The 20,022-nt window shown below is 50.6% G+C and overlaps 4 annotated features.

The window, feature by feature from the left end:
• Positions 940-1,234: an enhancer, noted in NCBI's record as "tiled region #9477; HepG2 Activating DNase unmatched - State 12:CtcfO, and K562 Activating DNase unmatched - State 12:CtcfO". NCBI's record gives its function as "activates a minimal TATA promoter and a strong SV40 promoter by Sharpr-MPRA in HepG2 and K562 cells {active_cell/tissue: HepG2 | K562}" and the evidence as "EXISTENCE:reporter gene assay evidence [ECO:0000049][PMID:27701403]".
• Positions 10,880-11,763: an enhancer, noted in NCBI's record as "H3K4me1 hESC enhancer chr1:110329469-110330352 (GRCh37/hg19 assembly coordinates)". NCBI's record gives its function as "activates a minimal SCP1, AML or CMV promoter by ChIP-STARR-seq in naive H9 embryonic stem cells {active_cell/tissue: H9 hESC(naive)}" and the evidence as "EXISTENCE:reporter gene assay evidence [ECO:0000049][PMID:30033119]".
• Positions 11,764-12,647: an enhancer, noted in NCBI's record as "H3K27ac-H3K4me1 hESC enhancer chr1:110330353-110331236 (GRCh37/hg19 assembly coordinates)". NCBI's record gives its function as "activates a minimal SCP1, AML or CMV promoter by ChIP-STARR-seq in naive H9 embryonic stem cells {active_cell/tissue: H9 hESC(naive)}" and the evidence as "EXISTENCE:reporter gene assay evidence [ECO:0000049][PMID:30033119]".
• Positions 15,193-15,252: an enhancer, noted in NCBI's record as "active region_1452". NCBI's record gives its function as "activates an Ori minimal core promoter by ATAC-STARR-seq in GM12878 lymphoblastoid cells {active_cell/tissue: GM12878}" and the evidence as "EXISTENCE:reporter gene assay evidence [ECO:0000049][PMID:35858748]".

The raw sequence follows: 20,022 nt of genomic DNA on the forward strand, positions 1-20,022 counted from the left end.
TCCAAAACCTTAATGTAAGACATTGGTGAATACCTTAATTTTCTCTTCCACTAAGTGATGTTACTTTGAGCAGGTTTTATGTCTTTTTTGTGGGATACCCACAGTCAGGCCAGTGCCTGGCACCTAATAGGTGATTGCTGAGTCAGTGAACAAGTAAACAAATGAATGAAGAAGGTAGAAAGGAAACAGAAGTTAGGAGGGCAGAAGTGGCTGGGAATGGAGACAGTGGCCTGGAAACCTCCTGGAGGAGGGGTCAGCATCCCTTGGTCACAAATTTCTCTCCTACCTGGCTGCACATTAGGGGGACTCTCCGCTCTTTCCTGCCTCTCCCTGGCAGACTAGTGACTCCTGGACACCAGTAGTGGGAAGGCAAGGGGCCTGGAGGCTGGTCAGAGACCCACACAGAGACCATCCTTTTCCCTTCCCAAGGGACGCTGCCAGCCTCTGCAAGAAGACTACCCAAAGGCTGGTGGATGGCATGGAAACATGAGTGCTGGAATGCGATCGCCTTTCCCGCCCAGCACTGATTATGCACCATCTGTGTTCTGGGGCCTGTGCTGAAACTCTGAGCTTGTGCACATTCCAATGTGATGCCATCCTTTGGCTTAGTTTCAGATGAGACTAGGGTGGGCACAAGCCACAGGTGGCAAGATTGAGCTCTAGGCAATGAGTGCCAGGGGACAAAGGTGAGGATGCCGGGGCTGCACAGTCAGCAAGGAGGTGGACTGAGTCTTGAAGCAGAGTGGAAAGGCAAGGGCATTGCTGGCAAGAGGGATGGCCTTTGTAGAGGCTGGAGGTCAGGACACACAGGGACAAAGAACAGCTGGATTACCTGGGCCTGAGGCTTTGGGATGGAGTGGTAGGAAATAAATTTGGAAAGAGTCATTGGAACCAGGTCCTGGAGGAATTTGCTAGGCCAAAGAGTTTGAACTTGAACCAGAAAGATGAACTGTGAGGCTGGGGTGGATCCCATGGGGCCAGCCAGGTAGCCCTTGGCTGCTTCTTCCCTGCCTTTCCAGTTAAGGAGCCATTCCCTGCAATGGCCAGCAGGGGGCAGAACAAGCTCACGTTCCCTTAGCCCAGGCCTTCCTGTCAGGGCTCAGTGTCCAGGGAGAGACCTGGGGTGGGTGTCCCTTGGAGAGTGGGGAGGAGCACCAGGCACAGAGGAAACAGGCCAGCTGTGCATAGATGGGGGACCCGGGGAGGCTGGCTAGTCTGTGGCCATTGAAGCTGCGTGGTCTGGTGACCCGACCTGGACAGCCCTGGGGTGAGCATCCACCCTTCCTGGGCCTAGGCTCCCTGGCACTAGCACAGCTTTCCAACTGTGCCCCCTTGTCTTTGCTTTCCCCAGCTTCTCCTTCCCAGTAGAAGAACCCTCGTTCCCATGAGGTGTCTGAATTGGGCCTCCCGGCTCCCCAGCTCCTTTAGAATCAAACCAAATCTAGGAATGTGGCTAAAGAGAGTCTCTTTCCTCTGCTCAGTCCCTTCCCTGGAGAGGATGAGGGAAGGTTTTCGGGCTGATGACAAGGTATGCATGTGGGTGTTTGACTAGCATTATTCAGCAGCTTCTGTGCTAAGGACAGGGACATGAAGACAGAAGTGCATTAGGCCAAGGCACCATTACACTCAGGGTCCCCAGCCCGCAGAGTAAACAACTCCGTGACTCAGCTGGCAATGGCTGGAAGGTGCTATGAACACAGTGCCGTGGACGCCCCGAAGAGGAGAGAACACCCCTGCACAGTGAGGACTGCAGAAGCTTTGACGAAGCTGCTACTGGATCTAGGCCTTGAAACATGGGTAGGATTTTACCAGATGGGGAAGAAGAAGGGGCATCTCCATTCAGGAACCAGCATGAGCAAAGGCACAGGAGTGGGGCTGTGTTTAGACAATATCAATGAACGGATACAGTTCTATATGCTTTTCCATGACCACTTGTTATATGACAAACATTGTGCTATGATATTTATATTATTTCCAATTTTCAAATCAACCCTTAAGGTGCTATGATCCCCTCTTTACAGATAAAGCATCTGAGGGTCAGAGAAATGGCATGAGAGCCCCGGTAAGGAGCATAGGAGCTGAAATGCTAGTCCCGGTCCCTGTGACTCCACTCTGCCTCCGTAAGATGGAAGTTAAGGAGTGTGCATGGCAGGGGTGGATGGGAAGGGCTGATGGTGCCACAAAGACCAGCAAAGTCCTTCTCTCCCAGGGGACGCTACCCTTGGCCCCAGCATCTCTGGCCAGACTGTAAGATCTTCTGGTCAGAAACCTTTTCTCAAACAGCTATTTGCCTTTTCACTTTTCCTTTTCCTTTTAGGAAGCAGTTCTTGTGCAAATTTCATTCTTGCGGGTCATAGATTTTGTCTGGGCCTGGGTCGCAGACAGAGAAGGAGGGGCCCTGAAATAGGGTGAAAGGAGGAGGGCCTGGGCCAGATCCCCAGGGGGCATCAACCTGCCCTTGCAAGCCTTGTGCTGGTATTTAAAGGTTGGCTTCCGGCCAGGTGCAATGGCTTACACCTATAATCCCAGCATTTTGGGAGGCTGAGGCAGGAGGATTGTTTGAGGTCAAGAGTTTGAGACCAGCCTGGGCAACAAAGTGAGACCCTGTATCTACAAAAAGAAAAAAAATTAGCCGGACATGGTGGCGCATGCTTGTAGTCCCAGCTACTCAGGAGGGTGAGGTGGGAGGATTGCTTGAGCCCAGGAGTTTGAGGCTGCAGTGAGCTGTGATCATGCCACTGCACTCCAGCCTGGGGGACAGCAAAAGACCCTGTCTCTAAAACAAATACATAAATAAAAACAAAGTTTGGCTTCTTTTCCCAGTCTCCATTTGTCTCCTCTGTCTGGGTGGGATGGAGTAGCTGAGAGGGCAGACCTCCTGCCACGAACGGACCTCTTCCAGATGGAAGAGAGGCCTGCTCCTCCAGGGCTCCCCTCCTCTGAACCACCTCCCTTCCTGGTCTCAGTAAAGCCATTCCCACATCTTCCAGTGGTCCCTGCGTTAGTCTGTTCAGGCTGCTATAGCGAAATAGCATAGACTGGGAAGTATACAAACAACAGAAATTTGTTTCTCACAGTTCTGGAGGCTGGGAGGTCCAAAATGAAGGTACCTGTAGATCTGGAGTCTGGTGGGGGCTTACTGTCTAATTCATAGAAGGCACCTTCTCACTGTGTCCTCACATGGTAGAAGGGCAACACAGCTCTCTGGCATCTCTTTTATAAGGGCACTAATCCATTTTATCAGAGCACTTACTCACCTCACAAAGGTCCCATCCCTAATACCATCGCCTTGGGGTTAAGGTTTTTTTTTTTTTTTTTTGAGACGGAGTCTTGCTGTGTCTCCCAGGCTGGAGTGCAGTGGTGTGATCTCAGCTCACTGCAAGCTCCGCCTCACGGGTTCCCGCCATTCTCCTGCCTCAGCCTCCCGAGTAGCTGGGACTACAGGTGCCCGCCACCACACCCGGCTAATAGAGACGGGGTTTCACCGTGTTAGCCAGGATGGGGGGTTAAGGTTTTAACATATGAATTTTGGGGAGACACAAACATTCAGACCATAGCCTTCTGCCCTGGCCCACCAAAATTTATGTCCTTCTCACATGAAAAGTATATTGATTTCATTTCAATAGTCCCAAATGTCTTACTCATTCTAGCATCAACTTTAAAGTTTAAATCCAAAGTCTCATGTAACTATCAAATAAAACAGATATAAGTGAGACTCAAGGTATTTGTCTCCAGCTATGAACCTGTGAAATCAAGCAAGTTATGTGCACTCAAAATACAATGGGGGAGATGGGTGGAGGATAGACATTCCCATTCCGAAAGGGAGCAATAGGAAGGAAAGAAGGGATACCAGGTCCCAACCAAATCCAAAACCCAACAGGGCAAACAACATGAAATCTCAAGGCTGGAGAATACTCTCTGGCTGATGCTCTGCCCTCTGGACACTGGGGTAGGGGTTGGGCCCTCAGAGCTCCAGGTGGCCCTGCCCCCATAGCTTTGCTGGGCACTGCCTATGTTCCATCTCTCACAGGTTGTAGTTGGGTGCCTGTGGCTCTCTCAGGCTGGAATTGCACGCTGGTGGGTCTATGGTCTGGGATCTTGGTGTTGGCCCACCCCCATGGCTCTATTAGGTATTGCCCTGTTGGGGACTCTCTGTAGAGGTCCCACCCTTGCCATAACTCTCTGTCTGGTCACATAACTGAGGCTCCTAGTGGCTCCATTCTTCAGGATCTAGGTGAAGGTAGCCATGCCCCCACAGCTCATGCACATTGACAGGAATGGCACTTCATGGAGCTGCCAAGGTTTATCACCTGTGCCCTGCAGAGGGGTGGCCACCTTAGCTTGTGTTGTACCTAGGCCCACTAGAGCCATACGTGGGGTGGCCAACGAGTACTCTGCTAAAGTGCGGGGAGTGGAGCCTTGAAATCTTTCTGTCCCCCAAGCCCTTGCACTCTGGGCCTGTGGTGGGAGGGGCAATTCTGATAATCTCCAAAATATTTTTGGGGACAGCCTTCCATTGCCTTCATCAATAGCACCTGGCTTCCCTTGAGATGGCCTATCCGTACCAATCCCTTTCTCAAATCACTGTGGGGCCACATTCTTGGTGTTTTCTATGAACACACTTTCACATTCTTTTCAAAATGGATAGGTTGAGAATTTTCCAAAATTTTAAATTCTGCTTCCCTTTTGATTAGCAATTCTATCTTCAGATCATCTCTCTCTTCTCAAATGTTACTATAAGCACTCAAGAGAAGCCAAGCTGCACCTTCAACACTGCTTAGAAATTTACTCATTCAAATATCCCATTACATCATTTACAAATTCTACCTTCCACAAAACACCATGACACAAACTTAATGCAGCCAAGTTCTTTACTACTTTCTAATAAGTATTGTTTTTCCTCTAGTTTTCAGTAAAACATTCCTCATTTCTGAGACCTTACCAGAATGGCTTTTACCATCCATATTTCTACCAATAGCCTGTTCATGACCACTTAGGTAACCTCTAAGAAGATTGAGGCTTTCTCTACAACTCTCCACACCAGAACTGCTCTTAACAGTCCATTCATGGCAATGGTTAGGCTTTTTCTAGGATGCACTTCCAAACTCTTTCAGCCTCTACCCATTATCTAGTTCCAAAGCCACTTCCACATTTTAGGTATTTGTTACAGTAGCATCCCACTCCTGGTACTAATTTTCTGTTTTAGTCCATTCAGGTTGCTATAACAAAATGCTATAGACTAGGTAGCTCATAAACCACAGAATTTATTTCACAATCCTGGAGGCTAGGAAGTCCACAATTAAGACACTGGCAGATTTGGTGTCTGGTGAGGGAATGCTTTCTTGTTCATAGATGGTACCTTCTCGGTGTGTTCTCACATGGTCAAAGGGCAAGACAGCACTCTGAGGTCTCTTTTATATGGTCACTAATCACCTCACCAAGGCCCCACCACCTAATGCCATCATCTTGGGCACTGGGAATTTAACATATGGGTTCTGGGGGTAGGAGGACACAAACATTTACACCAAAGCTGACTCCTTCTCAGCAATCATCCAGTCCTTTTAAATTGGGACACTAACCTTTTTCTTGCCAGCAATCATTTTAAAAAATCAATTTAAAATAATAAAAATTATAGTAAATACCATAATAGCAGAGAAGGATATGTAAAAATTAAAAATGTTCTACCCATCACCCTTTTCCTTTGCCTCATCTTATTCCCCAAGGAACCACTCTTAACAATTTCTTATTTATCCCTAAGATATTTCTATGTATATAGACAAGCACGTATAGCTACAAGTCACTATATGTGCTTTGTAAAAAATATATACAAATGGGATCATATCATAACAATAATGTAACCGTGTTATTTTGCAGCTTGCTTTTTTCACTTAATGTCAGATCTTGGACCTCTTTTTCATGTCGATATCTGTAGATCTACTCATTTTTTTTGTAGTGACTATAAAAAGTTCATTGTAAAGATGTGACTGACCAGTTCCTTTTTTAATGGAGATTTATGCTGCTTAGGTTTTGCTAAGGCAAACAGTTCTAAGATGAACAACTATGTTTGTAAATTAATTGCCAGCTGACTAATAATGTGTGTGTTTAAAATGTGAACATGTGTTCCCAGATTGCCTTTCAAAAACACTATAACAATTTATAGTCCCACTAATAGTGTATGAAAATGCCCATTTCCTTATATTTGCACCAACACTGATACTATCAAACTTTTAAATCTTTGCTAATTTGACAGATGAAAAATGGTAAAAATTTAAAAATTTTGAAAATTTAAATGCCTTTAAAAGTAAGGCTGAGCATTTAAAAAAATATATCTTGGCTATTTAAACTTCTTTTTCTTTCTTTTTTGTGAATCCCATGTGTAGAGGGATTTTTTGAGACAGCTATTCTTTTTCTCACTGATTTGTAGAAGCTCTTTGTGTATTAAGGAAATGTCTCTAAAATTCATTTTCTTAGTTCTTTCACTACAAATTCTATGTTTTAAAAGGTTTTGTTAAATAGCAGTTGCCAAGTTATTAGTTCTTTTTCTGTTTTCTCCATCTGACCCATGTATACTTAACCTCAAATATTTATCTGTACAGATAGCCAATGTTTCTGCATTGAGTTGATGTAATTCCAGCCAAAAGCAAAGCATTGGAATTTTTGTTAATCCCAGAAATCTCACCATGGCTAAATGTAGAGTATCCATTGGTTTTCTGAAATATTTTAAGTGGTTCAAGGAACCCTGGAGGCCTGGGGCCCTGGATGGGAGCCACAGCCTCTGATTTAGCCCTTTAGCTAGCACTTCCTTGGGCCAGCCCAGCTCACTCAAGCCAGCAGTTTGGTCAGCACCTGTGTGCACCCCTCTGGCCAGCTGTGGATTCTTCTATTCAGGTGAATGGGCCGGGTGTTTGCATATTTTCCCCTTTGTTTATAGGCACTTATAGATGTGAGTCCCTTTTCCCTTTAGCAGATGGTCCCTGAGGCAGGACTGAACCTGCCCTAGGCCAGCCCCAGTGGGACTTTACTGGGGGTTAAGGAGGAGATGGAGGAGTGCGGTGTGGGGCGGACAGAATGGGGCTCACCCTTAGAGCCTCCCAGCTGGCCCCCACCCCCGCTGCCCATCCTTCAGCCTCCCTACTTTCTTGAAGAAATGTTGCCAGACCCATGTCCTATTCCCTTAAGGGTAGGTGTGGGCCTCTGGGCAAGTTGGGAGGGGGTTTGCAGAGCCCCAGATTGGAGAGTGGAAGGCTGGACACCACTCTCCAAATATGGGCCTGTGTGTCCTAAGTAGGCGTTAGAGGCATAGATGGGTGGTGGGGAGGGGGTGTCCTGGGAAGGGGAGGTAGCTTTCAGGCTTCTGGAAACTCACCCCCCAATCTAAAGGCAGCTTCACTGTGTTCGGGATTGTGTGTGGGGTAAGGTGGTAGTGCTGAGCTTGCAGGTGTTGGGGTGGGAGAAGAAGAGAGGCCAGAAACCTGCCCCTGATTCCTGACCTGTCTGAGCCTCTGCGGCTGACTTAGAGGCTTCCGGGTTTGTTTGTTGTTTTAACCCAGGGCTGACTTTTAAGAGACTGCCACATTCCTAAGGGATTGGCAAGTGAAGGTGATGAATGGGGTTGGCAGGAGGCAGAGTCTGAGGAAGTCAACAAGAACTCCAAGTTGACGCCCGGGAGCCCAGGTTCCCAGTGCTGTGGCCAGGCGTCCTGTCGGAGGACTGGTACCCCCGCTGACCCTGGTGGGTGGGGAAGGAGACCTTGGGCTCTGAAAAATCCCCTTTCTCTTCCCATGAATGTCCCCCAGCCTTCCTGGGCTGCTCTGTGGGCATTAGGGTTGGCCCTGTTCTTTGCCTCGGGTCACAGCTCTCCTGCCCCACTGGGGCGACCCAAGCCTGGGAGTGGGCACAGCAAGGGTAAGGGCTGAGGCTGGCAGACCTGGGTCTGTCCCCTGGAAATATGCCTCGGTGGCAAATGACTCCCCAGAGATGCCTGAGATTTTTCTTTTCTTTCTTTCTTTTTTTCTTTGCTTTGTAATTAGTATATTAAGGAGACAATACATTTCAAGAATTACTTAAATTCTGATACCCAGATTTAAGCATGTGAACATATGATGAGACCTTTAAACACACAATTAAAGCTATTCATCAGAATTTGTTATACTACCAACATTGCAGTTACTTTGGAGCGTAAGTCAAATGGTTTAAAGTAATCCTGTAACATACCTAAGGAACACCTCCCTATATTACGCGTGCAAATTCCTTCTCCATGTAAAGGTCTTTTCACTTTAATTTCTACGTTACTTTTTCTTTAAAGCAGGGCTGGTGAGATGACATAGACTGTACCTGCTCTGACTTCCATGAAACCTTATTTCATTGGCTCCATTTGCCCCGCCTGAGCCCAAATGGAGTCTCTGAGGAGGGAGCGAGAAAGAGCTGCTCATTCTTCCAAATGTTCTGCTTTGGTCTGCAGGAAAATTATCTCACTAAATATACAAATCTATCTTGACAATGCAATTGAATGGCCCTCCCATGTACAGTGCGATGCAATAGGTGTATTCCTCCCATTTCCTCTATCCCGGGCCCCAGCAAAACCATCACAGCCAGACTGAGGGGACACCAGTCCTGACATTTGGGACATGGTAGTGAAGAATGTGGCTTCTGAGCCAAGCAGATGAAGGGCAGACTTGGCCACACACAGGAGCTGACTTCATGGACTGGTTCCCCATCTGTAAGTGGGAACCACTCTGCTCAGGCTGCCACGGAGATGAAGTCCCAGCAGGTGCATGAGTGCTCTGCAGGGTGCTGCAGTCGGGAGCGGCTGAGTCCCTACGCTCTTACTCTCCTGGAGGCCCTTCTCTCGCCTCCTCTGGGAGCTAGGTCCTTCCAGCCAGCCCTGACCATCAGGCCCCTCTGGATATGACTTGGCTGACCTTTTTTCCCCTCCATAAAATACTTGGGTCTTGAAGTCCCTTTCAGCTCTGAAGTTTGATCACTGACTCAGGCCTGGGTTGTCCAACTTCATAATTTTGCAGGCTGGGTTCAGGGAGTAGGCTTGTGCCAAGAACTCAGGACACAGTTGTCTCAGTGGGAGAGGGGTCAGGAAAGGCTTGGAACATGGAAGAAGCATGGGCTTCCTGCTGGGAGTGAGTGAGAGGGAGGTGCTTGATGTTAGTTGACCTGGTGTGTGTGTGTGTGTGTGTGTGTGTGTGTGTATGAAGTGAGAGGTAGTCTCTCAAAATAATATTTGTCCTGTTTTCTCATTTTTCTAGAGCTGGTGGGATTGAAGCAGGGTTTGTTTTAGGACTGCCAGGAGTGTGTGTGTGTGTGTGTGTGTGAGTGTGCGCGCTGAGGGTAGATGTGACAAAATGTAGCCCTTGAGAAGGCCACAAAACAAAGGCTTCTCAATTTCTCTGGCGTTATTTAGGGATATTTTATGCCTCTGCCATCCACAAAACCAAGGGCTTCTATTTAATTCATTCTTTCAAGGAATGTATTGAGCTGGGCCCAGGAGGCTGTACTCTACGTCCAGAGGCTGGCCCTATGCTGGGTACCAGAGATAAAGTAAGAATAAGATGTGATTCCATGCTCTCCTGAGCCCACTGCCCCGTGGCACAATGCAGAGTGTGGGGAGCCCCATGCCTGGGTGGCTGTGGGGTTGAGGGCTGTGGTGGCCCAGAGAGGAGCTGCAGGAGGCTCCACTGCCAAGGAGGACTTGAGCCTGCACCAAAGACCAGGTAGGCACCAGTGCAGTCCCCACAGTGGGGACAGGCACCACAAGCCATGGTGCTGCTAGTGCAAACACTCAGAGGCATGGAAGAACACAGGTGATTGGAGAACCACATGTAGCATGGGGTAGCCAGAACCTTGGGGACAAGGACAGTGGGGACAGATAAGAAGCTTATCCTGAGGCTCACGTCACCGAGGCCTTGGGGGCCTGACTGAGGAGTTTGGATTTTAGCCTGTGGGCAGGGGTCCTAAACTCAATTGTCTGCAGGGACCAGAGTGGGAGGAGAGGCATGAAGATGCCAGTGCAGAAAGAGGTTGCCCTGGGGAAGGCAGGCCTTGTCCCCTCTGTTCAGTCATTGTCCCAGGTTGGGGGGCAGACCCAGAGTAATATATCATCTAACTAACTCTTACAGAGAAGCTGGCAATGTGGGTTTTTACACGGGCACATTTATTTTTAAATGTTAGCAATTAATTCAAGTTTAATATATAATGAAACAAAACACATGGCTCAGGCCCATCAGGAAAGGTCTGGGTTCCTGATTTGGCGCCCAGGCCCCTGTGTGTGGCCGCTGCCTATGACGGTGGGGGATATGCCCACAGCTTCCAAGTGGGAGTGGGTGGGTTAGAGTTTGCTTCCTGTGGTGGCGTTCTGAGGAAGCCTGTACAGACAGCTAGAGTGGACAGAGGTGGAGAGACTAGTACAGAAGTTATGGAAAAACCTCATTCTTCATTCATTCATTTAACAAATGTTTACTGAGCATGTGCTGTGTGCCAGGCACTGTGCTAAGCAGGTGCTATTAAGGGACACCCAGCCTCTTTCCAACCCACAGATCAAGGTCTGGGCTAATTCTGCCATGCCTTCCCAGGCCTCCTGTCCTTTCTTCCCAGGCTCTGAGGCTACACTTCTTGGTCCCAGGCCAAATCTGCTCTCTGCAGGGCCTCCTGAACTCCAACACAGCCTTTTTTCTGGGTTTTGCGCCCGCTCCAGTCATGCTCTGTCCTCTTCTTCTCTGGCGTTTATTGCTCCTCCCAGCTCTGCCCTCTGCACACCCATCCTTCAGTGCCTGGGTGTGGCAGAAGAGATCTCCTCCCCCCAGCTCTCCTGCTCTTGACATCAGCAGGAAATTCACAGAGCTTTTACTCTGGATCCAAACAAACACTCATGTGTTCGTGCATCTAGCTGAGAGCCCAACCTGGGTCTGGGCTGGCCTGGGAGCCCTGGGGGATACAAAGGTCCTTGTCCTCAAGACACTCCCAGGTGGAGGGGAATAAGCCCTGTCTACCGCCAAGAGCAAGACCACTCAATACCCAACGGATGGTCCCCATGAGCCAATGGCGGCCGTGGAAACATAGAGACCCAGTTCTTCCTGCTGTGTGCTTAACTTTCATGGGCTCATGGGTGCTTCACCACTGCTCATTAAGGCCAGCTCTATTATGGTACTATTTCACATTTGAGGAGACTGAAGCTCAGAAAGTTGACTAAACTGTCTGAGATTGCTTAGCTGTCAGAGGCAGCACGTTGGTTTGACCCTGGGGTGGTTGACTGCAAGCCCGCTTAGTGCATGGCCATTTCAGGAGAAGGATGTGAGAACTGGCAGGGATAGGGGGTGGTCGCTGGGGCACATCCCCAGTGGGCATCTTCCTGGACTTTCTCCAGGATGGGGAGTGATTCCACACAGGCTGACATGGGGTGTGATGGGCCTGGCTGCTGGCATGTGGCTCCCCGGCAGTGCCCCCACCCTTTGCTGGTCTCTCACCCAGCCCTCTCTCTGGTCTCCGGTTCTGTGGCACGTGCCTCTCTTCTCCCAGTTTGTCCCTCCTCCTCCTCCTAGACAAAGGTAGCCTGATACTGTGAGTCAGGATGGATTGGGAGCCAGGGTCATTAACTCACCTGGGCCTGTCAAATGGGCGTAAGCACTGATTATCCTGCAGGGATCTGGTGGAACTCAAACCATTGAAGATTACAGAAGGAAACTGCTATAAATATTTAGAGGCATGAGTCATTCATTCATTCGGCAAGTATTTATTGAGCGCATACTCTGTGGCAGGCCCTGCTCTGAATTTTAGGGATATTGTCCTGAGGAAGACAGCCTTAGCTCCTGCCCGCATGGGGCTTACAGTCTAGAGTGGGGTGGGGGGCAGACATTCAGTAGCCATGCAGATGAACACATAGGTACAAAGCAAACTGTGTTCAACAAGATTGTCAACAGGGTTGGAGAAATGCGTCCACAGCCTTTCCTGAGTAAGTGGGATTTCAGCTGAAGGATGACAAGTCAGCCTGCACAGGGCAGGGCAGGGGCCCCCAGGGCGTGAGTGCAAAGCCCTCGAGTGGCGGACAAGCCAGAGGCTTGCGACAAGGCAGCATGAGCTGGGGCGGCGCGGGGGGAGGCTGGGGGCTGACTGGCCGGACTGGGCATGGCCTTGCAAAAGAGAGCTATTGAAGGATTTAGTTTAAGTGGCTTAACAAAAATAAACCTCTATCTCTTTGACCTGGGTCTCTAGAGCTTCTCCTGCCTCCTTTGCCCTCAGTGTCCATTCTGTGTGATGAGAAGTTGGGCTTGGGGGAGGTCTCAGCCCTCACCCCCTTCTCGGGCAGAAGGGCAGCTGATTGAAAGCAGATGTCTCGCCCTGGTGGGGCCCAGCCCGGCTCCCCAGTGCTGACCTCAGACCTGCACCGCTGGCATGTCCAGGCCGCAGACTCTCTGTCAGCAAAGCCGCATCCGTCCTGCAGAGAGACGATCACTGTGGTTGCCCACACCCCCAACCCAGCAATTTCCCTACCACGGTGAGAAACCTCCCGTATTCTGGGGCTGGGGCCCAGCCTCCTCCTTCCAATTGCCTGGGGGAGGGAGAGACACCAATTAGGTTCTTGGAAAGGAACTAGGTTAGAAGAGGTATCTGTCACCCCTGCCCAGTTCCTCGGCACACCTGCACCAGCACAGCGCCAAAGGAGGCCACCATTATCCTATTCAGCATGTCCTTGGCTCTGGGCTAAGTGCTTTATGTCTTCCCATTTAACCTTCACAAACAGCTCCATGAGGCCCAACCGTTAAGGCAGTGTGTGACTGAGGCTCAGAGAGGACACCTTGTCACACGGCTGGTAGGTGCAGAGCTGGGATCTGAGCCCAGGTCATCAGGTCTGAAGTCTGTGACCCCAGTGGTCCTCTGCAGGGGGCACTGGCTGTTGCTCCTGTGCCTCTCAGACACTCCATGTGCCTGTTGCACCTGAGGAAGCCCAGGTCAGCTCCAGGCTGCTCGTGCCTCCAGGGACCTGCGTCTTGGCATAGGGCAGCAACATGGGCCCAGAGAGTGCTGGTGCGGCCTCTAGGTGGTGGCCTGGGCTCTGGACATTGTCAAGGGCAGTATGCTTGCTGTTGAATCAGTTTGGACCATGCCCAGGGGTCTCTTCGCAGAGGGAGTTACCATTTTAATTTTTGCCTTTGAACACCCCTGGGAACCACCCCCCATGCACCTGCCCTTTTGGGGCTGCTACGTCCATGAGGCCTCTGCTCCCCGGCCCCCACCATGCACCTGGAGGCATTCAGCAGGCTCCACAGGTTTCCCAGAGATGCCTCTGGTGTCCTGCAGCAACCCTAGTGGCCACTTCCCTCACTACCCCTTACTCTCAGGCCACCCTAGAACAGTACTCTCTTTCCTCTGCTCCTACAAGGCTGCTCCCAGCCCATCTGCAGACCTATCTGCCTCACCCCTGGCCGTTTCCCTGGTCTACTTCCTCTTCTCTGCCCATCCCAGCATCTCTGCCTGATCCCACCCCCTCAGAGAGATCATTTTGCTCTCAGTCAGTCAGCAAGCATTTACTGAGCTGTAGAGATATCCTGGCTGAGAGCTCAGGCTCTGAAGCCTGACGCCTGGGGCTACAGAAATGAAACCCTCCCGTCCCCTGCTCACCTCTGGTGCACCTGGAGCATAAAGAGAAAAGGCAAAGGCTCCACCGCTGGATGCTGGCTTCACTTTGGCTTCTCCCTGCTGCCTAGTTACTGAGAAGAAAAAAAATACGGCAGGAAGCCCCATATAGACCATTTTTTCCCTCTGTTCTGTGCAAGAGTTACCTTGGTAGTCTTCAGGTGACTCAGCACTGGGGTTTACTATGGAGGGTGGGTCTGGGGGTGGCGAAGGGGAGCAGCTTTCTGGGGACTTTCAGACACAGGAGTAAGGAGGCCATTTGTGTTTTGGGGTCTGTAAAGAAGGAGCCCCAACCCCAGTGTGGATCCTGGGGAAGGAAAAGGGACTCAGACTCTGACCGCAAGGGGTGGACCTGAAGCCCCAGCAAACTGTCAGCCATCCTCTGCCATCCTTGAAGTCAGCCCCCAGAAGATGCATGTGGCCTGTGTGGTGCTCTGGTTGGCACAGGACACTCAGCCTTCTGACCACGTGGGAGCAGTTATCCACAGGTGCCACCTCAGTGGGAACGGGTCAGCGTCCTGGTTCTCCTGGCCAAGGTGCAGAAGTTGGAGCCTCTACCTCCCCCTCCACTTTTTGAGTACATGAGACCTGGAGGTTCTTGGGCAATTTGAAAGGAGAGGAAGATTCCAGAGGAAGGTATGTTTTTCTTTCAAGTATAGTAAATTAGGTCTGGATGGTTTTAATTGAAATTATACAAATCGAAGAAATGCAATAGTATTTGTACCTCCAATATCTGCTATCACTCAGTGGTCACAAAAACATCAGTTCCTATTTATCAAAAGCTTATGGTATGCCAGGTCTCCCATTTACATTGTTTTATTTAATCTTCAGGACAAGGTAGGTACTTTCTGTCACCATTTTACAGATGAGAAAACTGAGGCTCTCTACAGAGAGGTTAACTAACTTTCCCAAAGTCACACAGATAGCAAAGCTGTGGATTGGGCTTATAACCCACATGTCTTTCACTCCAAAGTCCTTCGACCACAAGGTCCACTCTATTGCTCTGTCTGGGGGTTCTCTGAATCTGTGGGGACCCCAGAAGATATGGACCTGCAGGGAGAAGCCATGGGATCTGGAGGCCCAAGGCCTAAGGAGACCGTGGGGCCTCCTTCAGGTAACTGTCTTCGGCAGCAGCTGCATCCCATTACACTGTGGACAGCAGTCTTTAGAAAGCCACCTTCTCCTGGGCTGCAAAGGAACAGGGTGACCACAGCCTATGAACCCTTGGGGCCCCTTGAGTTCCCACTGCCTGCCCGGCAGGGTTTCACAAACGCATTGACATTGATGTTGACAGGGCAGCCTGTGTGGAGGGTGCAGGAAGCCCAGAGGCCTGTGGCTGCCAGCATTGCTCAGAGTTTCCGCTGAGCTCTTCCTGCAGGGCCCTCCTCAGGGCTCTGCTAGCCAGCGCCCCCTGTCTTGAGGCCTTCGTGGACCCCAGCTGGCTCTGAGACAAGCTCAACTGACTCCAGGGCCTCTGAAGGGCTAGGAAGGCCCCATTTTCTGGGTGCCGAGCCTTGGGTTAGCTTCAGAGGCCCTGGTGATAGCCTCAGGATATCTGAAGGTTTCTTAGGACCAACGCCACCAGGTGGGACAGAGGCAGTGCTACTTCCAGTCAGAAGATCCAAGTTCCACTCTCAGATCCAACACTCGCTGGTTCTGCAACCTCAGGCGGGTGTCTTTCCCTCACCGAATTCCCTCCCCTATCTACCTCACAGGGCTGTTTAAAACCCTTGGCAACAGGAAAACACTCGGCCAGTATTGGTGGCCCTAGTAAGGCTGTGGGCTGACTGTGGGCCTGCCCCTAATTGGTCTTCTCACCTGGAAACTCAGCGAAGAGGCTGGACTTATGGGTTCCAGAAGAGGGGCAGGGCATTCCAGGAGGAGAGAGGGCTGAGCCCAGGCACAGAGTTCAGAACACACAGGAAAGAATTGAGCTCTGTGCCAGAAACTGTTCTAAGCATTTTACACATAATAACTCATTTACCTCTCTCATCGTTCCCATGAGGTAGGCATTACTTCACCCCATTTTACAGATGAGGCAATGGAGGCACAGAGGGGTAAAGTAACTTGCTCAAGATCCCATCGCTAGAAGTGGGGAGCCAAGATTTGGACCTGGGCAGTCTGGGAGGAGACCACCAGTGGAGGCAGCGGTGGTGGGACTGGAAAGGTTGGGAGAAACGCCAGGGACTGGGCCGCATCTGCCCTGCTCACTGCTGCAAGGCCAGCGCCCAGAGCAGTGCTTAGCACATAGTAGGTGTTCTTAGCCTGTTCCTGATACATGAGCTCCGCAGGTGTGGCTACCTTGCTTGTCTGGGGACGCTGACATTTCACACAACACAGAGAGGTTGGGGTTGCTGCCTCTGCCTTTGGGCTGAGATTCAGCCCTTTTCAGTGGGGCTATTGGACCCCTACAGCGGGAGGGCCCCTTGTAGGAAGGCAGAAATTTAAAATCGTTCCTTAATCTCCCTTTGGCCCCCTCCTGTTAGGGCCAGCCTCGCCTCCTGTACCTCCCTGGGGAGTGTTTTTAGCTCCCAGAACTTGGGATCCAGGTGGGCTGGGGGGCTGGGGGAATGCAGACAAACGGAGAAGCATGTTCGCTGCCGGCAGAGGCTGCTGAGAGACCAGCCTGTTTGCATGGCTGGAGCGCTGGGGGCTGGTGAGAAAGGAAGCTTCCTACTCTGCAGCACTCAGACCCCACTAGGAATGTGGCTTGGGGCCAGGATCCCTCTGGGCAAGAAAGGATGACTCAGCAGAAACAGCGTCCTGGCCCCACAGGACAACTGGAGCCGCTGCCCTGGGGGCTGGTACCAAGTGGCAGAGCTGCTGAATTAATGACCCCTCCACCTCAGCTTCATCTCCACCCTCCTACACCTCATCCCCCACTCCCACTCTCCCAGGCCTCCTTTAGAAGCCGTTCTCTGGGCTGGGGTTTTAAGACTCTCAGAGTGGCAAGACCTGGCCCCCTCCAGAAACTTTCAGACGGAATTGGGAGGCGCCCCGAGGCTGGAATTGATAACTGGCGAGGGGAGGCAGCCAGCCTTCGAGGACCCCCGGGCCTGCCAAGGGAGTCAGCATGGAGTGAGGGGTGCATGGGGCAGTGGCGGGAGCTGGCCTGGGCGGGGGCCTGGGGAATTCCAGCCCAGGAGAGCCAACTGGAAGCACATGTGTTTAGATGGGCACGGAACCCATAAAGCTGCTTCTTCCAGCCCAGCTTCCCAAGGATTAAAGATCTCAGGAATCCTGGGAAATCTGTCTCCTTGTCACCAGAGGCCCCTCAGGACACAGGCTCCCGCCCCACTTGCACCTCAGGTCCTGAGCAGAAGTGGATGATGATGGTCGTGGTGAAAATGTGGATCTTGTGAGAGTCGGGGTGCAGCTGCTAGCGTTGTTTCCCACACATCCTGCTGACCGCTGTTACCTGTTTAATCCCAGGTGTTCCCCAGGGCAGCCTTATCAGGTGGATAGGTACCAGTATTACCCTCATTTTCTGCAGAGGAAACTGCCTTGCAGGAAGGTAAGTAGCTTGTCCAAGTTCACTCTGGTTGTGGCAGAATACATTTCCAAGGCTGGGATCTTAAATGCTCTGCTTGATCCTCTACCCCTTGGAGGAAGGAAAAAGGGTAGAGTTCCTGTGGCTCTGTCCCCTCCCCTGGGTGCCACGCAGTGACTGAGGGTCACCAGGGTCAGCCCATGGAAACGCTGACCCTTTCTAGGAGGCGTTGCAACATCCAGCAGTTTCCTGCGCAACTATCATAGGGGGCTTGGGTCTGGTGAGCAGTGAAGATCCTGAGATTTGGGGCTAGAAGACATGAGCCTGTCTCCTGACTTACTAGCTGTGTGACTTTGACGCTTAGCTTTGTCTCCCTGGACCTTGGTTCCCTCACCTATAAAATGGGAGAGAAGAATACAAAAATTTTCTCTCCGTGACCTGCCCCAGGGAGATCAAATGTAGACCCTAAGTCCGCTGCAGCCAGGGGGCCTAAGCAGACGGAAAGCAGTGGTGGGTGGCGAGGGTTGAGAGGGGAGGAGATCAGGGACAGGGGGCAGGAAGGGAGTGTCGGGGGCTGGTATCACACTACTAGGCTCCCAGGTCTGGAGAGAGGCCAGCAGAGATCAGGATTTCCTTTCATAACAGATTATGGAACAGCTACTTTGCACTAATCTATCTGCCTGATAGAGATCATCTGGGGATGACCCAGCAGCCTTTGGTGAAGACACAGAACAGAATGGCTGCATCTTCCCAGGAAAATCCCATGGGCAAAACGACTCTAGGTGCCAGATAACAGCCATTTTTTGGCAAGTGCCGGTTTGCTGACTTCCTTCTGTCCTGCTCTAACCTGGCTTCTGTTAGTTGACTGGTTCCTGTTGCCTCAGCAACAAAGCAATAATGGAGGTGGGTGTGAATGGCTATGTTAAATCACTTAATTATTGCAAACAGGCACTCTGCCAAACGGGGGTGGTTACAGCTATGTTAGACTTAGTCACTGCCTGCAACTAAATGTAGCTGAGATGGTCGTAATATGCACCACCAACAAATACATCTTGGTTGACTAAAGAACCTTTGGAATTATGAAGACATTAGACTACATCCATTACAGTTGTATCGCTGAGTCCATTTTATTATATTCAAAACCTTTGCAAACCAGTAATTTACATAGGATGTGTATGGCGAGGCTACCTCAGTTACCCAATCCTCAACTCTATAAGGTTTTATCAATAACAGCAGGTCCGTTCCGTTTAGGCTGTTATTATGGCTCTCTCCTGGAACATCCTGTAGTGGTTGTTTTTTGGAAACATCATTTGGTTCATAATCTCTTAGCAACAGGACTTTGAGGGCTAACGGCCGACGTATAAGCCCAGCAAGATGATTGTGACTCGTGGGTAGGCAAACCCACAGCAGCCAAGTCCAAGCACTCTCTGATTATGGGTTTAATTGTTTGAGGTCATTGAACGTCATGGGCACCCACTGCGGGTCAAACTGGCTTTGTTATCTGCCAGTGAGCATTTGCCAAGGCAGCCACACACCCAGGGCCCAAGGAGAACTTCCAGAGTCACCGAGTGCCCCAGGCGTCACAGCTTGGTCTTTCGGCTGCAGACCCTGGAGTGCCTGATGGGGAAGAGGAAGAAAGGAAGGAGGATTTACCTCACTCTGTGTATGCCTGGCACTTCACCTCATTGTATCCTCACAGCCCCCTGTGCAGCAGTGTTAGGACTGTCTTGCCAGGCTGCAGATGAGGAGGCAGCCGCTCAGACCGGGGAGTCACTGGCTGCGCTCACAGGTGCTCACAGGCTGGCAGAGGCAGGATTCTGATCCAGGTCCTCCCGAGCTCACAGCCTCTGCTCTTTCTGCTCTTTCCATGCAAACGCCCACGCCTATGGGGACAGCTGGGTCTTTCCTGGATGTTTGGTCTCCATAAGATTCTGTTCCAGAGTGGAGCATGTGAGGGTCATTGCCACAGACCCATTCAACATGTCAGAGGCCACGCAAACAGTGTATACATCTGGCGCCACTGAGCCCAGCACTCACAGGCAGCCTGGGGCCTGCCTGCCTGCTCTCAGTTTGCAATTCCCTTTTTATTTGAGTTCTCTCTGGTCCCTCCCAGAGATTGAGACTGTAGTTTGCCATCTGTATTTAGTAGGAATTAAAAGTTTTAAACATAGCTACCACTTTTTACTATGAGCTGAGCACATACACACTGCTATTTACTTCTTAAAACCTTGTAAAGATGTGATACTGTTGTCCCTGTTTACAGATCAGGAAATTGAGGGTCAGAGTGGTTGGATGATTTGCTCTAAGTCACAGAAAACAGGTTTATTTTTTATTTTTTATTTTTTTTTGAGAAGGAGTCTCACTCTGTCGCCCAGGTTAGAGTGCAGTGGCGCGATCTCGGCTCACTGCAAGCTGTGCCTCCCGGGTTCACGCCATTCTCCTGCCTCAGCCTCCCGAGTAGCTGGGACTACAAGCGCCCGCCACCACGCCCGGCTAATTTTTTTTGGATTTTTAGTAGAGACGGGGTTTCACCGTGTTAGCCAGGATTGTCTCGATCTCCTGACCTCGTGATCTGCCCACCTCGGCCTCCCAAAGTGCTGGGATTACAGGCATGAGCCACAGTGCCCGGCCTGGAAACAGGTTCTTATTGTGATACCCACAGCCCATCCTCTGCCCTGCCCTGCTGCTCCATTACTCCTGAGCGGAGGTGGACACCCGGAGAAATATGCAGTTTTGTGCTTTGGGTCCCTGCACTCACAGGGGCCTCTTCCAAGGCCCCAGAAATCTATTCAGATGGTCACATATCTTTGTAAAATTTGCAAAGGTAAGATATTTTTATCTTCTTTTTATAAAGGAGCATCTCGCATCCCCTCATTGTATAAACCTCAGTT

This window comes from Homo sapiens, chromosome 1, assembly GCF_000001405.40.
Source record: "Homo sapiens chromosome 1, GRCh38.p14 Primary Assembly".
In the NCBI taxonomy this organism is placed as follows: domain Eukaryota; kingdom Metazoa; phylum Chordata; class Mammalia; order Primates; family Hominidae; genus Homo; species Homo sapiens.